A 17,571-nucleotide genomic window follows, 5' to 3' on the forward strand; every position below is an offset into this window, starting at 1 on the left:
CGCCTGGCTGTCTTCTGTTTTTCTTGACACATATTTTTGCTCCTGCCAGATTACTCATTGTCTCAAAACTTAACATTCACATTTCCTCTTCCATCTACTAGTTAATGCCACTTTCCCAGCCTGAAAATGTTCTCCTATTCCTCTGTATTTATCTAAATCCCACCATTTCTCCAAACTTTCCTTAAATTAAGGTCTAACTTCTGGAAATTATTTTAGGTAACTGATTTTTCCCCTTTCTGAACCTCTAGGAGGAAGCACCATGCCCTTTGCACTGCATTCTTGTCATATAAGATATTGTTGGCTTGTTTAGAAAATAAAGAGCTGGCTGGGCACAGTGGCTCATGCCTGAATCCCAGCACTTTGGGAGGCCAAGGCGGGCAGATCACAAGGTCAAGAGTTCAAGACCAGCTTGGCCAACATGGTGAAACCCCATCTCTACTAAACATTCAAAAATTAGCCGGGCGTGGTGGCGTGCACCTGTAATCCCAGCTACTAGGGAGGCTGAAGCAGGAGAATTGCTTGAACCCAGGAGGTGGAGGTTGCAGTGAGCTGAGATCGCGCCATTGCACTCCAGCCTGGGCGATAGGGCGAGACTCCATCTCAAAAAACAAAGAAAAAAGAGCTGGGCGCGGTGGCTCATGCCTGTAATCCCAGCGCTTTGGGAGGCCGAGGCGGGTGGATCACGAGGTCAGGAGATGGAGACCATCCTGGCTAACAAGGTGAAACCCCGTCTCTACTAAAAATACAAAAAGTTAGCCGGGCGTGGTGGCGGGCGCCTGTAGTCCCAGCTACTCAGGAGGCTGAGGCAGGAGAATGGCGTGATCCCGGGAGGAGGAGCTTGCAGTGAGCCAAGATCGCGCCACTGCACTCCATCCTGGGCGACAGAGCAAGACTCCATCTCAAAAAAAAAAAAGAAAAAAGAAAGAGCTAAGTGTAGTAGGTCATCACAACTTTGCTTTGATAAGCCTCTGGTCTCCATGATTGTTCAGCTTACTGATTACTTAGTCACAGGATCTGATTCCATTCGGAACAAGCTTGAACCAGCAGGAAACGCAGTTCCGGGAGAGAGATTTGTGAATTCCTGCTGACTGGAACCCAGCCAGGAGGAGCCTCCTTCAATAAATGACAAATGAAATGGTTTCCTACCTGGGAACTGTGTATTTAGGATTGATTAGCTGACGTAACAACCAGGTCAATTTAACTTGAGGAAAGAGATTACCTGCCCTTTCCTGCTAGTATAAAGCCCTTTGCTCTGGTTGATTGAGTTTATAAACCACCTTATTTCAATGTTCCTTGTAGCCGCTACTTCAAGACATAATTGGCAAGTGAGCTAACTCCATTTGGCACCAAACCAGAGCTTGGAGTTAATGTCACTTAGAAAGACATTTCTGTGTTGGTTATAGCATAAAAAAAAGGCAAAGAGTTCTAACAGATTTGCCCCAGTAAAAGTACATTACCCCTGACAAGGCACTAGGGAAATTATACAGATAACTCCTTTCACTTTGATGCCGAACAAAAACTGACACACCTATAGAAAGGTAAACTCAGAAGCATTCTAATGTATAAAACTTAAAATTTCTTCTTATTGGTGACTTAGCAATAATCATCTCTAGACCCAAGTTTACTTTTCTTGTTAATTAGTAATATTTGTCTGCCTTTCATTGTTGGAGCTGTTAGTTGACTTAAGTTTAAGGATATTAAGGAGGCAGGATATGGAGTGGAACATGAAGCTAGAATATATAAACTCCTTTGGAAGATTGTCCTATAATGTGTTGATGAAAAATGCCAACAGGATACACACTCAGCTTCTCTTTTAAATAAAAAGTTTCCATTTTATGAAAGTCAAAAGGTATTTTTTAAAAGGAGAAATGGGTAAGAGAAAAAGATTATCAAGAAATTTGAGATTATATATCACAGAAAGTCATGTAAGTTTATGGTTAAGGTTTTGAAATTTTTCCTGATTCCTCTATGTCCTTTTATTGGCGCGTTTTTTTTTTTCCTGTTTCTTTTCTTTCTTTCTTTCTTTTTTTTTTTTTTTTTTTTAAGACAGGGTCTCTGTTGACCATACTGGAGTGTAGTAGCGCCATCGTGTCTCACTACAGCCTCCCAGGCTCAAGGGATCCTCCCACCTCAGCCTCTTGAGTAGCTGGGACTACAAGGCGGGTGCAACCATGCCCAGCTAATTTTTCTATCTTTTGTAGAGATGGGGTTTTGCCACATTGCCCAGGCTGGTTTTGAACTCCTGGGCTCAAGCGGTCCTCCTGCTTCAGCCTCCCAGAGTGCTGGGATTACAGGTGTGAGCCACCTCGCCCAGCTCAGAGCTTTTTTTTTTAACGTTAAATCAAGCTTAGTCTTACCGAAGGCTTTTAAGTCCTTACATTTAAAGGCCACATATAGATGCTGAAAACTTAGGAATCATTTTATGAACCAAACTACCTGCAAAATATTATCTCCAAAAATATCTAAAATGTGTAGAAATAAAGGAATGTGCTAATGTAATATGTATTATCAAAAATGTACATAGCACTGTAGTTCTAAATCATTCTTTGGTTTTTGAAGCTTAGTTTGTTGATATCTTGTTTCTACTAGTACTTGACACCATGGTTCTTGATATTTTTTTATTTAAAATTTAACTCTAACCATCTGTGAAAATAATTACAGGTTGAGTATCCCTTATCTGAAATGCTTAGGACTAGAAATGTTTTAGGTTTTTTATTTTTATTTTTTTCAGATTTTGGAATGTCTGCAGAAACTAGTTGAGCATCCCTAATCTAAAAATTCAAAATCCAAACTGCTCCAATGAGTATTTTCTTTCAGTGTCATGTCAGTGCTCAAAAAAGTACAGCTTTTGAAGCATTTTGGATTAGGAATGCTCAACCAGTAATAACATATGAAGAATATTTTACTGAACATGTTCAGTTATATTATTGGATTTTTTTAATCCTGATTTCTTTTCCACAAAGTAGGTATTGTTAATTCTGTTTTACTGAAAATAAATGTATGTCTTAGGTTAAGCAATTTGCCTAAGTTGCAGATCCAATATTTGAATGTATATATTCAGACTTATTAACCTATGATTTTCATCTCATACCTCATTGATGGCTCACTTCCCCACTAAAGCTTGGCAAGGCTAGAGACTGTTGGTACATGTCATATTACAGACAGTTCCCTACTTATGATGGTTCAACTTAATAATTTTCCAACTTTATGATGGTATGAAAGTGATACACATTCAGTAGAAAGCATACTTTGTATACCCATACAACCATTTTGTTTTTCACTTTTAGTGTAGTGTTTAATAAATTACATCAGATATTCAACACTTCATTATAAAATAGGTGTTGTGTTAGATGACTTTGCCCAACTGCAGGCTAATATAAATGTTCTGAGCATGTTTAAGGTAGGCTAGGCTAAGCTTTGATGTTCAATAGGTTAGGTATATTAAATGCATTATCAACTTAAGATATTTTCAATTTGCACATGCCTGTAATCCCAGCACTTCGGGAGGCTGTATTCGTCTGTTCTCACACTGCTAATAAAGACATACTCAAGACTGGGTAATTTATCAAGGAAAGAGTTTAATTGACTCACACTTCTACGTGGCTGGGAAGGCCTCACAATCATAGCTGAAGGCAAAGGAGGAGCAAAGTCACATCTTACATGGTGGCAGCCAAGAGAGCTTGTGCAAGGGAACTCTCATTTATAAAACCATCAGCTCTTTTGAGACCTACTACCACAAAAACAGTATGGGGGAACCACCCCTATGATTCAGTTATCTTCACCTGGCCCCACCCTTGACACTTGGCGATTATTACAGTTGAAGGTGAGATTTGGGTGGGGACACAGCCAAACCATATCAGAGGCCAAGGCAGGAGGATTACTTGAGTCCAGGAGTTCAAGACCAGCCTAGGCAACATAATGAGATCCCGTCTTTACAGAAAGTAACAAAATTAACTGGGCGCAATGACACGTGCCCATAGTCCAGCTACTCAAGAGGATCGCTTGAACCCAGGAAGTGGAGGCTGCAGTGGGCCATGATCTTGCCACTGTACTCCCACGCTGGGTGACAGAGCAAGACCCTGTCTCTTTAAAAAAAAAAAAAAAAATTTCGATTTACAGTGGGTTTATTGGGACATAACCCCATTGTAAGCCGAGGAGCATCTGTATTGTTTCCTCTTCAGCTTAAAGGCTATGTAACAGAGAAACCCCAATGTAGGAGAATTTAGGGACTAAGGAACTTAGTCATTATGAAACAGGTTAGGATGAGAAGCACCAGGATTTAGGCTGAGCCTATGAAAGTATTTTCTAAGTTCAATAAAGTAAAACTATAAGAATACTCCATCTGAATATTCAATGTTCTTTTGATTTTGTGATTCAGAAGGTCCTAAATCACTATTATTCTTAAGTCACAACTTGTAGTGCCTTGTGATTCTGGGATTCTTCAGGTCAGATCAGAGTAGCGGGAAAGGTTTTAAGATTAAAGGCAGGGCCACTGTGGGGTGGGGTTAATTAGAAAATATTTCTTTGGGGAAATGAATCATTATCAAGCTATGTAAAAAGCATGGTATTTACACTGGCGGAAAGGTTGGGGTGGACCACTGCATTTCAGAGATATGAGCAGAGGCATAGAAGGGACACGTAGGGACCACACACAGTCTAGCTGTTGCTATGGGGCAATAGTGAAAGTAGCGAGGGATGAAGTCAGAGGCTGAGGTATAATGAGAGCATTTGATGGAGGGATCTGAATTTTGTTTTTCCTTTTTTTAAAGATTTCATTATTCCCTCTTACTTTTACTATATTGCCCATAATTATAATCGTTTTATTAGATATAAGTAAAACTCAAAATTCTACCACCTTAACACATAAGTAATTTTTATTTCCTGCGTTCCCTTGTGTTCCTTATGTATATTCATACATATTCTTGAATAGTTGTAATCGCAGTGAGAGTGTAATTTCAATGTGATCTTTTCACTTAAAATTAGTTTGATTCATCACTTCATAACTGCCTACACTGTGTTAGTGTGCGTACATGTTTATTTAATAATTTCTGTACAATGAATCTGGAATGTATAATGATTTACCGGTTAATACGATTGCATTTTACTAAAGAGATATTCTGCTGAAACTGAGAAATCAAGATGAATACAAGAATTAAAATAATAATTGCTGCCGCTATTTACTGAGCTCAATTACTAAGCTTTTATTGTATGTCAGAAACTTTTATGTACAGTGCTTCTAATCTATATAACATTATCACTTGTGGTATTACGTTCATGTTATAGGTGAGAAAGATGGGCACAAAAATATTTTACCCAAAGATACTTTTCCACTACACCATTCTTTTGTTTTCTGTCTTACCAGGTATTCCTGTTTGTTTTATTCTGCAGTGTTTACCTTCCTACACCACACGTTTTCATCTTTTTTGGTTTCTGGAGCTTTTAGACATTGGTGTCATAATTCCAGTTTCTTTTTTTTTTTAGACTGAGTCTCGTTCTGTCTCCCAGGCCAGAATGTAGTGGCGCAATATCGGTTCACTGCTACCTCTGCCTCCCGGGTTCAAGCGATTCTCCTGCCTCACCCTCCCGAGTAGCTGGGATTACAGGCGTGTGCCACTACACCCGGCTAATTTTTGTATTTTTAGTAGAGACAGAGTTTCACCATGTTGGCCAGGCTGGTCGCAAACTCCTGACCTCAGGTGATCCGCCTGATCCGCCTGCCTTGGCCTCCCAAAGTACTGGGATTACAGGCATGAGCCACCATGCCCAGCCAAAATCACAGTTTCAAATGAGGATCTGGTCAGCCACTCACTAAGGGGGCTTAACACCCCAGCCATTTTTATTTTGTTTTATTTTAATTTTTATGTTTTTGGAGAGACAAGATCCCACTTTGTTACCCAGTCTGGTCTTGACCTCCTGGGCTCAAGTGATCCTCCTGCCTCGACTTCCCCAAGTGCTGGGATAGCAGGCATGAGCCACAGTGCCTGGCCCTGGCTCAGCCTTTTTTTTTTTTTTCTGTAGCCAACTAAAAACTTGAGGCCAGGTGCAGTAGCTCACGCCTGTAATCTCAGCACTTTGGGAGGCCAAGGCGGGTGGATCATCTGAGGTCAGGAGTTTGAAACCAGCCTGACCAACAAGGTGAAACCCCATTTCTCCTAAAAATACAAAAATTAGCCAGGCGTGGTGGCGTGCACCTGTAGTCCCCACTACTTGGGAGGCTGAGACAGGAAAATTGCTTGAACCGGGGACGCAAAGGTTGCAGTGAGCCGAGATCATGCCACTGCACTCTGGCCTGGGCAACAGAGTGAGACTCTGTCTCAAAAAAACTTGAACAACATACTCCTTAGCAATACAGATTGTTACTGGTTCTTTTTCCTTAAACAGATTATAAAATATCATCATTGAGTCACATGATCTCCTGGATTAGCTTATAACTGAGGTGCTTTTGACTATTGGAAAAGGAAAGAAAGGTTACTCCATTGAAAGCCTGTCACATGAGAACCGTGGCTTATGTTCACGTTCTAACTTCTTTTTTTTTTTTTTTTTTTTTTTTTGAGACAGAGTCTCGCTCTGTCACCAAGGCTGGAGTGCAGTGGCATGATCTCGGCTCACTGCAACCCCTGCCTCCTGGGTTCAAGCGATTCTCCTGCCTGAGTCTCCCATGCAATTGGGATTACAGGCGCACGCCACATTTTTGTACTTCTAGTAGAGACAGGGTTTCATCATATTGGCCAGGCATCATCTTGAACTCCTGGCCTCAAGTGATCCTCCGGCCTCGGCCTCCCAGAGTGCTGTGATTATAGGCGTGAGCCACTGCACCTGACCTTTTGGGGAGGCTGAGGTGGGTGGATTGCTTGAGGTCAGGAGTTCAAGACCAGCCTTGGCAACATGGTGAAACCTGTCTCTACTGAAAATACAAAAATTAGCCAGGCATGAGTGGTGCACACCTGTAATCCCAGCTACTCGGGAGGCTGAGGCACGAGAATCGCTTGAACCCTGGAGGTAGACGTTGCAGTGAGCCAAGATCACGTCACTGCACTCCAGCCTGGGCAACAGAGCAAGTCTCAAAAAAAAAAAAAAAAGGGAAGGAAAAAAACTATTGGCAATTCTCTTTTTTGGTTATTTTATATGGAAAGAGGAAACCGTCTTCAAAGAAAAAAAGGCGTCTGCATTGGCTTTGCTTGAATTTTTGCTTGGTTGGTTAGTGGAATTAGAATGAATAGGTTTTAAGGCCATTTATGGTGGCTCATACCTATAATCCCAGCACTTTGGGAGGCCAAGGCGAGAGAATCAGTTGAAACCAGGAGCTCAAGACCAGCCTGGACAACATAGTGAGACCCCCGCCTCTATAATTTTTTTTTTTTTTTAAATTAGCCAAGTGTGGTAGCACACACCTTTAATCCTAGCTACTCAGGAAGCTGAGCAGGAGGATTGCTTGAGCCCAGGAGGTCAAGGATGCAGTGAGCTATGATTACACCACTGCATTCCAGCCTGGGTGACAGAGCAAGACCCTGTCTTAAAAAAAAAAAAAAATCGTCCAGGTACAGCGGTTCATGCCTGTAATCCTAGTACTTTGGGAGGCTGATGTGGATGGATCGCTTGAGCTCAGGAGTTTGAGACCAGCCTGGGCAACATGGTGAAACCCCCATCTCTACAAAAAATGTAAAAAATTAGCTGGGCATGGTAGCTCGTGCCTGTAGTCCCAGCTACTTAGAGGGCTGAGGCGGGAGGATTGCTTGAGCCCAGGAGGCGGAGGTTGGCAGTGAGTCTTGATGGTGCCACTGTACTCCAGCCTGGGCGACAGTGAGACCCTGTCTCAAAAAAAAAAAAAAAAAAGATTCTAAGTTTTGAGCAAATAAAATTGTGTACAAATGTTTTCTGACAGTATTATTGAATGGTTTTGACTATTATCCCTTGAAATAATTGACCTGTGGAATTGTCAAGAGTTGTGTTTCCATTTTAATATTATTTTTCCAATGCAACAGTTATAAACAAATAATTAACAATTTTTTGGTACCAATGAATTATTGAAGGCAAGAGCTAGAATCTCTAACTGCATGTTAGATATCTGTATATTAATTAGAGGACTTGCTTCAAATGATAGACACAATTTGTGTTAGAGATATCAATGGGGATGCTTCAGTAACAGCTATTCTGAGCAACTAAATTATGCAAAAGCTTTAGGATAAATTGGGTGGGTGCAGTGGCTCATGCCTGTAATCCCAGGCAGGCAGATCACTTGAAGCCAGGAGTTTGAGACCAGCCTGGCAACATACCAAAACCCCATCTCTGCTAAAAATAGAAAAATTAGCTGGGCGTGGTGCCACGTGCCCATAGTCCCAGCTACTTGGGAGGCTGAGGCAGGAGAATCACTTGAACCCAGGAGGCAGAGATTGCCATGAGCCAACATCATGCTATTGTACTCCAGAGCGAGACTCCATCTCAAAAAAAAGAAAAAAAAAAAACACATCTTATAGAATAAGTCGAGCAAATGTGAACATGGTAAGGAAGTCCTGAAAAGGAAGGAAGGAAATATAGAACATTTAGTTACCAGTCTTTTTCTTTAGTAGCAGGAAGCAGTCATCCAAATCTATCTTTCATGATTGAAGAAAGGATATGGAAATTCTCAACACTGAATAAGGCCCAGGCTTAATAAGAACTAGTGTTGTTCCAAACAGGTTCCCAGCAATATTTAGCTGAATTTCATTAGCAGTTTTAGAATCTAGTCTGCCAGATGCTTGGTGCTTATTATGGCATATTTCCATTCAAGAAAGCCTTGAGAGAAGCTTAGTACCCTGAGGTATTGGAGTGAGCAAGGTAATAGAGAGTCTGAATGAGCCTTTCATCACTCTCTGGGAGGACTCATTGCTTGCCTTTCTGGCATCTAAAAACCATTACCTCACACCACAGGTACTTTTGAACCTCTTGGCCACACATACATACTGGAACCATTGTTTAGCTCAGAAACAGATGGAAAACTTTAGCTTAAGTTTCTGTGTTAAAAGTTGTGTTACAATAGATTATTGTTTTTAATTGTAAAAAATGCCTATGTTGTTATCCTTACACCTAACCTACTTTCCACTTTGAACTTGTCCCACCTTCTCCATTTATTTTGTGATGCCAACATTTCACTAACTTTTTATTATTAAAACTTTCAGATATATAGAAAAGTTGAAAGGATGGTATAATGACAGTGTATTTGCTGTGTGTGTGTATAATATTTTGGTGGAACCATTTGGAATTTGCAGATGTAGATGACATGTCACCCCTAAATGCTTTAGCATAAATAACCTAAAAATAGGTCATTCTTCTATACAACTATAATGCCATTATATAATTTACTTTTTTGATGTGCTTTTAATAAGAAATTTACTATTAAATTTTGACATTCATTTTTGTATTTTAAAGATGTAAAAATTTTAATGGAGAATTATAAGTGCTGATCAACCTTTTCTCTGAGAAATATATCAGCATCAGTTAACTAGTAGATTCTCTTGTTTAACCCTGGGCTGACATCATAGGACTTTTCACTAGATGTTATCAATAGATGGCAACATGACAAACAACAAACAAAAAGAAACAGAAGTTCTTACTGCTTTTCATTGTTTTTTGGCATGAAAACATAAGCTAATATATGTATTTTAATTTTAATTTTTGTGGGTACATGGTAGCTGGATATATTATAAGCTAGTTTTTTTTTAATGGAGGGGTTATATGGTTGTCCATGCACAGTCCTATGAATTTCTTGTGATCACCGAGTTAATCAAAAACAAAGTTTATTTAAATGAACACTAGTGATTCTCACAGGGAAAAAAAAATGCTATCAGAATGTACTAGCACAAATTTCCACAAAAAAGCCTGATTGTGTTGATGCAGACCTTGCTAAAAGTGTCATCTGACATTCTACTTCTCATAATAGATTGTAAGCTGCAAAAGGCTTACTTGTTTGCTGTAGTCTTTTAATAAATATTTTACAAGCTTTGTCAGAGAAAAAGGATTTGTCATCTGATGGACACAGCGTCTGCATCTTAAGGTGATTTGGCAACATAAGAGAGGTAATGTCAAACTGTAGGCCTGGCAGCTCCTGTCTCAGTTGTGCTTTTGTTTTGTCTTTTAGGTATTCCAATGCTGCTAGAGTTCTTGGAGCAAAATATTGCCAAGGTTTGGGAAATGCTTTCTTAGCAAAGTATTGCTACCCCACAATAATTGTATCTTCTCTCCAGTTTGATGCTTTTGGATTAATATGTCAACCAAATTTGTTTAGTTACAAGTCTGTTTATTAACATCATGCGTAACGATTATCAAACCTATGTTCTCTGGCACTTCCCTATAAAAGATTTGCTCCTTGAGGAAATGACCCTGCCTTAGACATTTTTGTATGTCTCACACTATAGTCTCCACATTAACTACTTTGTGCTAACATAACTATGTATTGAGCTAAATTGAATTAGAGCGAGAGAGAAAGAGTGTGTGTGTGTGTGTGTGTGTGTGTTTGAGTGTGATTACAACCAGAAACAAGAGTGGAACTTTTATTTACCCTGTAGTTATATTCCCCTTCAAAAGGAGAAATCAGAATGAACTCCAAATTTGAAGAAAGTTGGAACATTGCATGTTTGTGCAAGTATTAACATTCTAGATTTTTTTTTCTTTTTGCCACCACAAAGCAAAACCGATATGGTAAGGAAAATTATTTTCATCCAGAGGTTGAATACTAGGGTACTACTGTCTCCTTATACATTGAAGGCTGTGGGCTCTTTTATAACAACATGGAAAAGCTTTATGTGCCTATAAACCATTTATATTTGCAGTGGAAAAAATTCTAATTGCCTATTTAATGTTCTTTTTCTGTAAAAAGCCTACCAGAAATCTGTAATTCCATCCTTCCTAGTTACTATTATGTGTTTCTCAGAAACTAGCACACTATATGTCTATCTTTTGACTACTTTGCATTCTAAGTACTAAAATGTAAGTGGACTTGGTGCAACCATGGTCAGCTGTTGAAGACATACAAGTCCTAATCATGGATAAATTTACTATGCCCTAGTGGGGATATTGCTTGGTAAAAATTAATTAGATGCAAGGCCATCAAATTTTATAGACCAAAATATAAATATAAAAAGTATGAGTACAGGCCGGGCGCGGTGGCTCACACCTGTAATCCCAGCACTTTGGGAGGCCGAGGCGGGCGGATCACGAGGTCAGGAGATCGAGACCATTCTGGCTGACACGGTGAAACCCCATCTCTACTAAAAATACAAAAAAAATAGACGAGCGTGGTGGCGGGCGCCTGTAGTCCAAGCTACTCGGGAGGCTGAGGCAGGAGAATGGCGTGAACCCGGAAGGCGGAGCTTGCAGTGAGCCAAGATCGCGCCACTGCACTCCAGCCTAGGAGACAGCGAGACTCCGTCTCAAAAAAAAAAAAAAAAGTATGTGAGTACATACATGGTTAAGTAAGTAATTTCCACACGGACTTTTGCTTTAGCACAGCTTACTAAAAAATGTGTTTTGTAGCTTGCTACTGCCATCTGCTGGTTCTCAACTCTTAGACGTCTACAATTGGTGTACTGCTGCAATGTACCAATATTGCAATATAAAAGGGAATTGGGTCTATTTATTTTATTTATGGGAAAATCTTAAAATATTCTTTGTTGAGAGTAAGACATCAGAATTTGTATGTGATCCATACAATATTATTTTTTAGTATGCTTTTAGCAAACAAACTCACTGGTCTTTCTTTACTATTAATAATGTGCTAATTTTGTATTTGAGTTTCTGATCAAACTTTTTATTCCTTTGTCATCTTTTCCTAGTTTAATGGATCGAGAAGTGGCGTTGCTTGCTGAAATGGACAAAGTGAAAGCTGAAGCAAGTAAGATGATTGATCTTTAATTAAAGCTATTACCTTCATAAATAGTAGGTACCTACTTCCCAACCCTTATAACAAAAGTTCCATATAAATACCATAATAAGAGTTTATATATTTAAATAATCTTAAGCAGTTGCACTGTACTGGCATATGAATCCTTTCAGGTGAAATAACTTTAAAGAGCCTGTTTTAAAAATATTTCCAAATCTTAATATTTTGAATGCAGAGTTCAGTGTATAAGAGACTGCATCACGGTATCTGCCACCAGGTTTTTATTTTATTTTGTTTCTTCCTCTAGTGTTTAAGCAATTCCACTGGGATTTTTTCTACTTGGAAAAAAACCTTTAGCATAATCAGAGAAGACTTCATTAGGTTGCCTACGATTGTATGTGTATACTCCTATCATTACCTATCTCAGAACTTTCTTTGTTTTCTCAGTTTATAGAACAGTCTTCACTCAGTGTCTGTTATCAATGGGTAGGGGAAAAGTTAGAGAATTGAGGGTTCAAGATACCAGGTTTCTTGAAAGCTTACTAAAATAGATTCTGGAGGAATGAAGTCTAACTTTGGTGATTTGTGGGGTTTTGTACAGAAAAAACAGATACCTATTTTTTGATCATTTCTGTTAAGTGTTAGGTTAAACATACACAGCTACACGAAGACAAGGGAATACCAACTGCAACTTGTACAATGGCATTGATTTGAGGCATTTCGGTGGCAGGTTTTATCTTCCTGCATTGAACGCCAGATTAATTATTAGGAAAGTTGTTTATTTTAACCCACCCCCAAACTGGTAAGAATAGAAATGCTGGGCTAGGTCGAGATCATGACTCACAGTTAAATCACTTGTGTGTGTGGTCACGGGCCAGAGGATGCAGCTTTGAAGCACTGAAATGACTTCAGCTTTGGTCCATTTTAACTTGAAAATTTGAGAATGTAGCAGAGATGCCTTCCACTGTTTTTCAGAGGTGAGATTTCATTACATTGAGCAATATATTTTGAGTTTCTAAATTTGACATTTCAGTCCATTATTTTATCTGTATATTCTCTTTTTGAAAATGGAAATGCAGATAAACTAAAACCACTAAGAAGACATATTTCTTAGTTTTGAGAAGAAGGTCCTTTTAGGCCAGGCGTGGTGGCTCACGCATATAATCCCAGCACTTTGGGCGGATCACCTGAGCCCAGGAGTTTGAGACCAGCCTAGGCAACATAGTGAAACCTCGTCTCTACAAAAAATAAGAAATAAGGCTGGGCGCAGTGGCTCATGCCTGTAATTCCAGCACTTTGGGAGGCTGAGGCGGGCAGATCACGAGGTCAGGAGATCGAGGCCATCCTGGCCAACATGATAAAACCCCGTCTCTACTAAAAATACAAAAATTAGCTGGGCATGGTGGCACACGCCTGTAGTCCCAGCTACTCGGGAGGCTGAGGCAGGAGAATCACTTGAACCCAGGGGGCAGAGGTTGCAGTGAGCCGAGATTGCGCCACTGCACTCCAGCCTGGCAACAGAGCAAGACTCCATCTCAAAAAAAAAAAAAAAAAAAAAAAAAAAAATATATATATATATATATATATATATATATATATATATATATAAATCAGGCATGGGGTCATGTGCTACATGTAGTCCTAGTTAGTTGAGAGGCTGAGGTGGAAGGATCACTTGAGCCCAGGAGGTCGAGGCTGCAGTGAGCTGTGATTGCACCACTGTACTCCAGCCTGGGCGATAGAGCAAGACCCTGTCTTGAAATTAAAAAAAAAGAAGGTGCTTTTAAGAATATTAATACATCTTTTATATTAATAGAAAATTTTGGCCGGGTGCAGTGGGTCACGCCTGTAATCCCAGCACTCTGGGAGGCCGAGGCGGGCTGATCACGAGGTCAAGAGATCAAGACCATCCTGGCCAACATGGTGAAACCCTGTCTCTACTAAAAATACAAAAATTAGCTGGGCATGGTGGCATGCGCCTGTAGTCCCAGCTACTCGGGAGGCTGAGGCAGGAGAATCACTTGAACCCAGGGGGCAGAGGTTGCAGTGAGCCGAGATTGCGCCACTGCACTCCAGCCTAGCGACAGAGCAAGACTCCATCTCAAAACTAAAAAAAAAAAAAGAAAAGAAAAGAAAATTTCAGATAGCGAGGCTAATGTAACAAATTCCCATCACTCAGCTTCAACCAATTATCAATTTGTGGCCAATCTTATTTTATCAAATTCAGAGCTCAAAGTTTTACTTAACTTCATCAGTTTTATATCTTTAGCTCTTTTCTCCCTGAAAATCCTGGTTCTCAATGATATTACTCATTTACCAATGCTATCAAGAGTAATTACTCATTTACCAGTGCTATCAAGAGTTGCTTTTTGTTTTTTACATATTATAATTTTATTAAGTAACTGATAGGTTTGTAGTATTTCAATCTTTTCCAGTGTTGTATAATTAGGTCCTATGAGTTATCTGTTACGTGTAGAAAGCTTTTTATTCACCTCATTTTTGCCATTTTGAGAGCTATAATTTTGTCATAGAATCACTGAATGCTAGAGCTGAGAGAAACTGAAGTTGATACAAATGGCAAATAGGTTTTATCTTGGGACCTAAACCAATAGATCATTTGTAACTGTTGGGCTTTGGCGTTAAGAAACTTTTGTAGGCATGCTCCTGACTCCTGAGAAAGTGGGCCCTGATTGATTAGTGTGACTTGGGTCTAGGCAGCCCATGTGTGCATCTCTGTGGCAGTTGGGCTGAGTAAACTTGCTAAATACATCCAGCTCTCTGTAATACCTGGTGTAACTCTTTAAAACTTCTGTTTTTTTCTGACGTGAATTTGGCTAATTCCTCAGTGTGTTACAGGATTCTATGTATATCAGTTAGGGATTGAGTTTGACTACATGGAACAGAGTGGCCTAAATAAATGTGAGTGTCCTTTTTTCTCAGAAAATGAAAAGTACAGAGGTAAGCAACCCAGGGCTGGCAGGACATTTCCCAGATGACATTAGGGACCCAGGATCTTCTGTTCTTCTGCCCAGCCATTCTGAGAGTATGCTTATGGTCAAAAGACAACTCCCTAGGCTCCAGTCGAGAAGGAGTAAAACGTTACATGCTAAGACTCCCTTAAAACGCTTTCCTGTAAAGCCTGCCCTTTGAGTTCTGCTTATATCTCAATGGGGAAACTATATCACATGGCCGTTTCATCTGTAGCAAAGCCAGAAAATATAGATTTTTTTTTTACCCAATTATGTTGGTACCCAACAACATTGGATTTCTGATAGCCCTGAATGTTCCTGAATGTAGTTGGAAAGACTGTGTTCCATCAGCTAATGGTCTTTGCTACAGTCCTCCACTACCCAGTATCCCTCTTTTTTCCAAAATGAGAATATGTTCACCACCTCCTCAATAGCAATACCTCCAAAGTCTCATCTAGTTAGTTAATATTCAGCTGAAAGGCCAGGTCTTCAGAGTGATTTCAGATCTTCCAAGGATGGGGTCTCATAAATTAAAAGAAAGGCTAAATGCCCCCTTCTCCCATATTACATAGTTGGAGAAAGAAAAGGATAATTATAGTAAAAATTCCCACTTGGAAAAGCAATGATCAAATCTTGCTGGATGGGAAGGAATAGCAGAGTCCCTTCCCTGGTAGTAGAGAACATTCGTTGGGTGGTTTATCTGCTTCCTGGGAGGATTTCTTTGGTTTTGTTTCCACTGTAGCCCCTGTCTCTCTGGGAGATTTTTATTGTATGTTCTCTGCCATGACCATATCCAAGTTATATATCAGAAAGCATGCCAGAGAAGGTGGTTCTTAAAAGGGTGTAACAATCTAAATACCCATCACTAGGGAACTCGGTAAATAATTGTGGTATATCCACATACTGGGTGGCTGTTAAACAGAATGAAGGTGATCCAGATGTATTAATAGGGAATAAATTTAAAGATATATTAAGTAAAAATAGCTAAGGTAAAAGAAAGACCATGTGTATGATATACTTCCATTTGTGAGAAGGGAAAAAAGAGAGCTACATATGTATGCATGTTGTATGTACATACACAATATTTGGATGTGTACGTAAGAAATGGTGAACAGTCGTTTCCCCTGGAGAGGAGACCACAAAATCAGAAATAAGAGAGATGCTCTTTTCATTTTATACCCAACTTACTCTAGATGAATATTTTTTATTATGTGTACATATTTCCTTTTTAATTTATATGCATCTTGATAAAATTTTTTTGACTGGAAGGAGAAATAACAATGATTTATGAGTGTTTGTGATTTATAAAAAATATTTACCACTTAACTGCCTTCAGAGACCCAATGGAAGGTAGAGACCAGACTTTTGATATTTTCATTTTCTGGGTGGATAGGCAGCTAAGCCTTTGGCTGACCAAATACCTACTGCAAGGCTTATATTTCTAGTTCTTCTTTATCCTATTTAGCAGCAACATAAGGTTCACACTCACTTTTCCTCTACAGTGGAAATTTTGCTCAGCCGACAAAAGAAGGCTGAACTTCTAAAGAAGATGACTCATGTGGCTGTTCAAATGTCAGAGCAGCAATTGGTTGAGCTCAGAGCTGATATCAAGGTAAAACTTCTTTCTGCTTTCTGCCTTTCTTCTTATCCTCAGGGGCTAAAGTAAGAAATTTTCATAATTCATGGCCATATCTAATATATTAAACTCATGATCTTCCTTTCCCAAACCTGGCCCTCTTCCAAGTCCCTTTCTCTGTAAGTGGTATTATCATCTACCCAGTTGTCCCAGCTGGAAACCTTAGGAAATTTCTCCATTTCCCACCTTAAATCTGTCAGCACACTCCATCCATTTGACTAAATCTCAGATCTGACCTTATCTCTTCATCTCCACCACCACCATTATGATCAGGTTACCACCATCTCTTGCCTGGACTTCTGTAAGAGCCTCTTAACTGGTTCTGTTCATCCATTCTGTCTCTGCCCCACCCGCCCCACCCTCCATGTATGTTCCCCACACTACAGCAGTCTGCTTCAAACTTTCTGTTGCTTTTAGGATGAATACTATAATCCTTAATCCGGTCTGAAGGACTGTGCAGTCTTGCTCTGCCATTACCCTCAGTTCATACCATCCCCCCGGTCCTCTGCCCTCAAGCAGAGGCTGGAGGCTTCTACACTCCACAGACACACCTGCTTTTCCATCTGTCCAAATGCTCTTCTCCCTGCCTCCAACTACAGTTACCACTATTTTTTTTTTTTTTTTGAGACAAAGTCTCGCTCTGTCACCCAGGCTGGAGTGCAATGGCGTGCCATCTCGGTTCACTGCATCCTCCACCTCCTAGGTGCAAGCAATTCTCCTGCTCCAGCCTCCCGAGTAGCTGGGATTACAGGCGCCTGCCACCACGCCTGGCTAATTTTTTTTTTTTTTTGATTCGGAGTTTCGCTCTTGTTGCCCAGGCTGGAGTGCAATAGCGCAATCTCAGCTCACCGCAACCTCCGCCTCCCCGGTTCAAGCGCTTCTCCTGCCTCAGCCTCCCAAGTAGCTAGGATTATAGGCATGCGCCACCATGCCCAGCTAATTTTTTTATTTTTAGTAGAGATGGGGTTTCTCCATGTTGGTCAGGCTGGTCTCAAACTCTCAACCTCAGGTGATCTGCCTGCCTCAGCCTCCCAAAGTGCTAGGATTACGGGCATGAGCCACCACGCCCAGCGGCTAATTTTTATCCTTTTAGTAGAGATGGGGTTTCATGA

The 17,571-nt window shown here is 40.1% G+C and overlaps 1 protein-coding gene across 19 annotated transcripts in view, besides 1 other annotated feature; it reads left to right on the top strand.

The window, feature by feature from the left end:
- The window catches only part of SPATS2 (spermatogenesis associated serine rich 2), a 160,574-nt gene that overhangs the window by 135,896 nt on the left and 7,107 nt on the right, over nt 1-17,571 (top strand). For 15 of the 19 annotated variants that reach the window (XM_047429409.1, XM_047429412.1, XM_011538691.4 and 12 more), the window contains 2 exons: nt 11,808-11,866; nt 16,326-16,435. In XM_047429409.1, the coding sequence (XP_047285365.1) occupies nt 11,808-11,866; nt 16,326-16,435 (169 nt within the window). Of the gene's footprint in view, nt 1-10,114; nt 10,159-11,807; nt 11,867-16,325; nt 16,436-17,571 lie in introns of those variants that run through there. The other 4 variants (XM_047429414.1, XM_047429415.1, XM_047429413.1 and 1 more) reach the window with 2 other exon arrangements.
- Nucleotides 11,080-11,258: a silencer, noted in NCBI's record as "fragment chr12:49907610-49907788 (GRCh37/hg19 assembly coordinates)". NCBI's record gives its function as "represses an EF-1alpha promoter that drives an FKBP-Casp9 reporter gene in an ReSE screen in K562 erythroleukemia cells {active_cell/tissue: K562}" and the evidence as "EXISTENCE:reporter gene assay evidence [ECO:0000049][PMID:32094911]".

This window comes from Homo sapiens, chromosome 12 (genome assembly GCF_000001405.40).
Source record: "Homo sapiens chromosome 12, GRCh38.p14 Primary Assembly".
Classification (NCBI taxonomy): domain Eukaryota; kingdom Metazoa; phylum Chordata; class Mammalia; order Primates; family Hominidae; genus Homo; species Homo sapiens.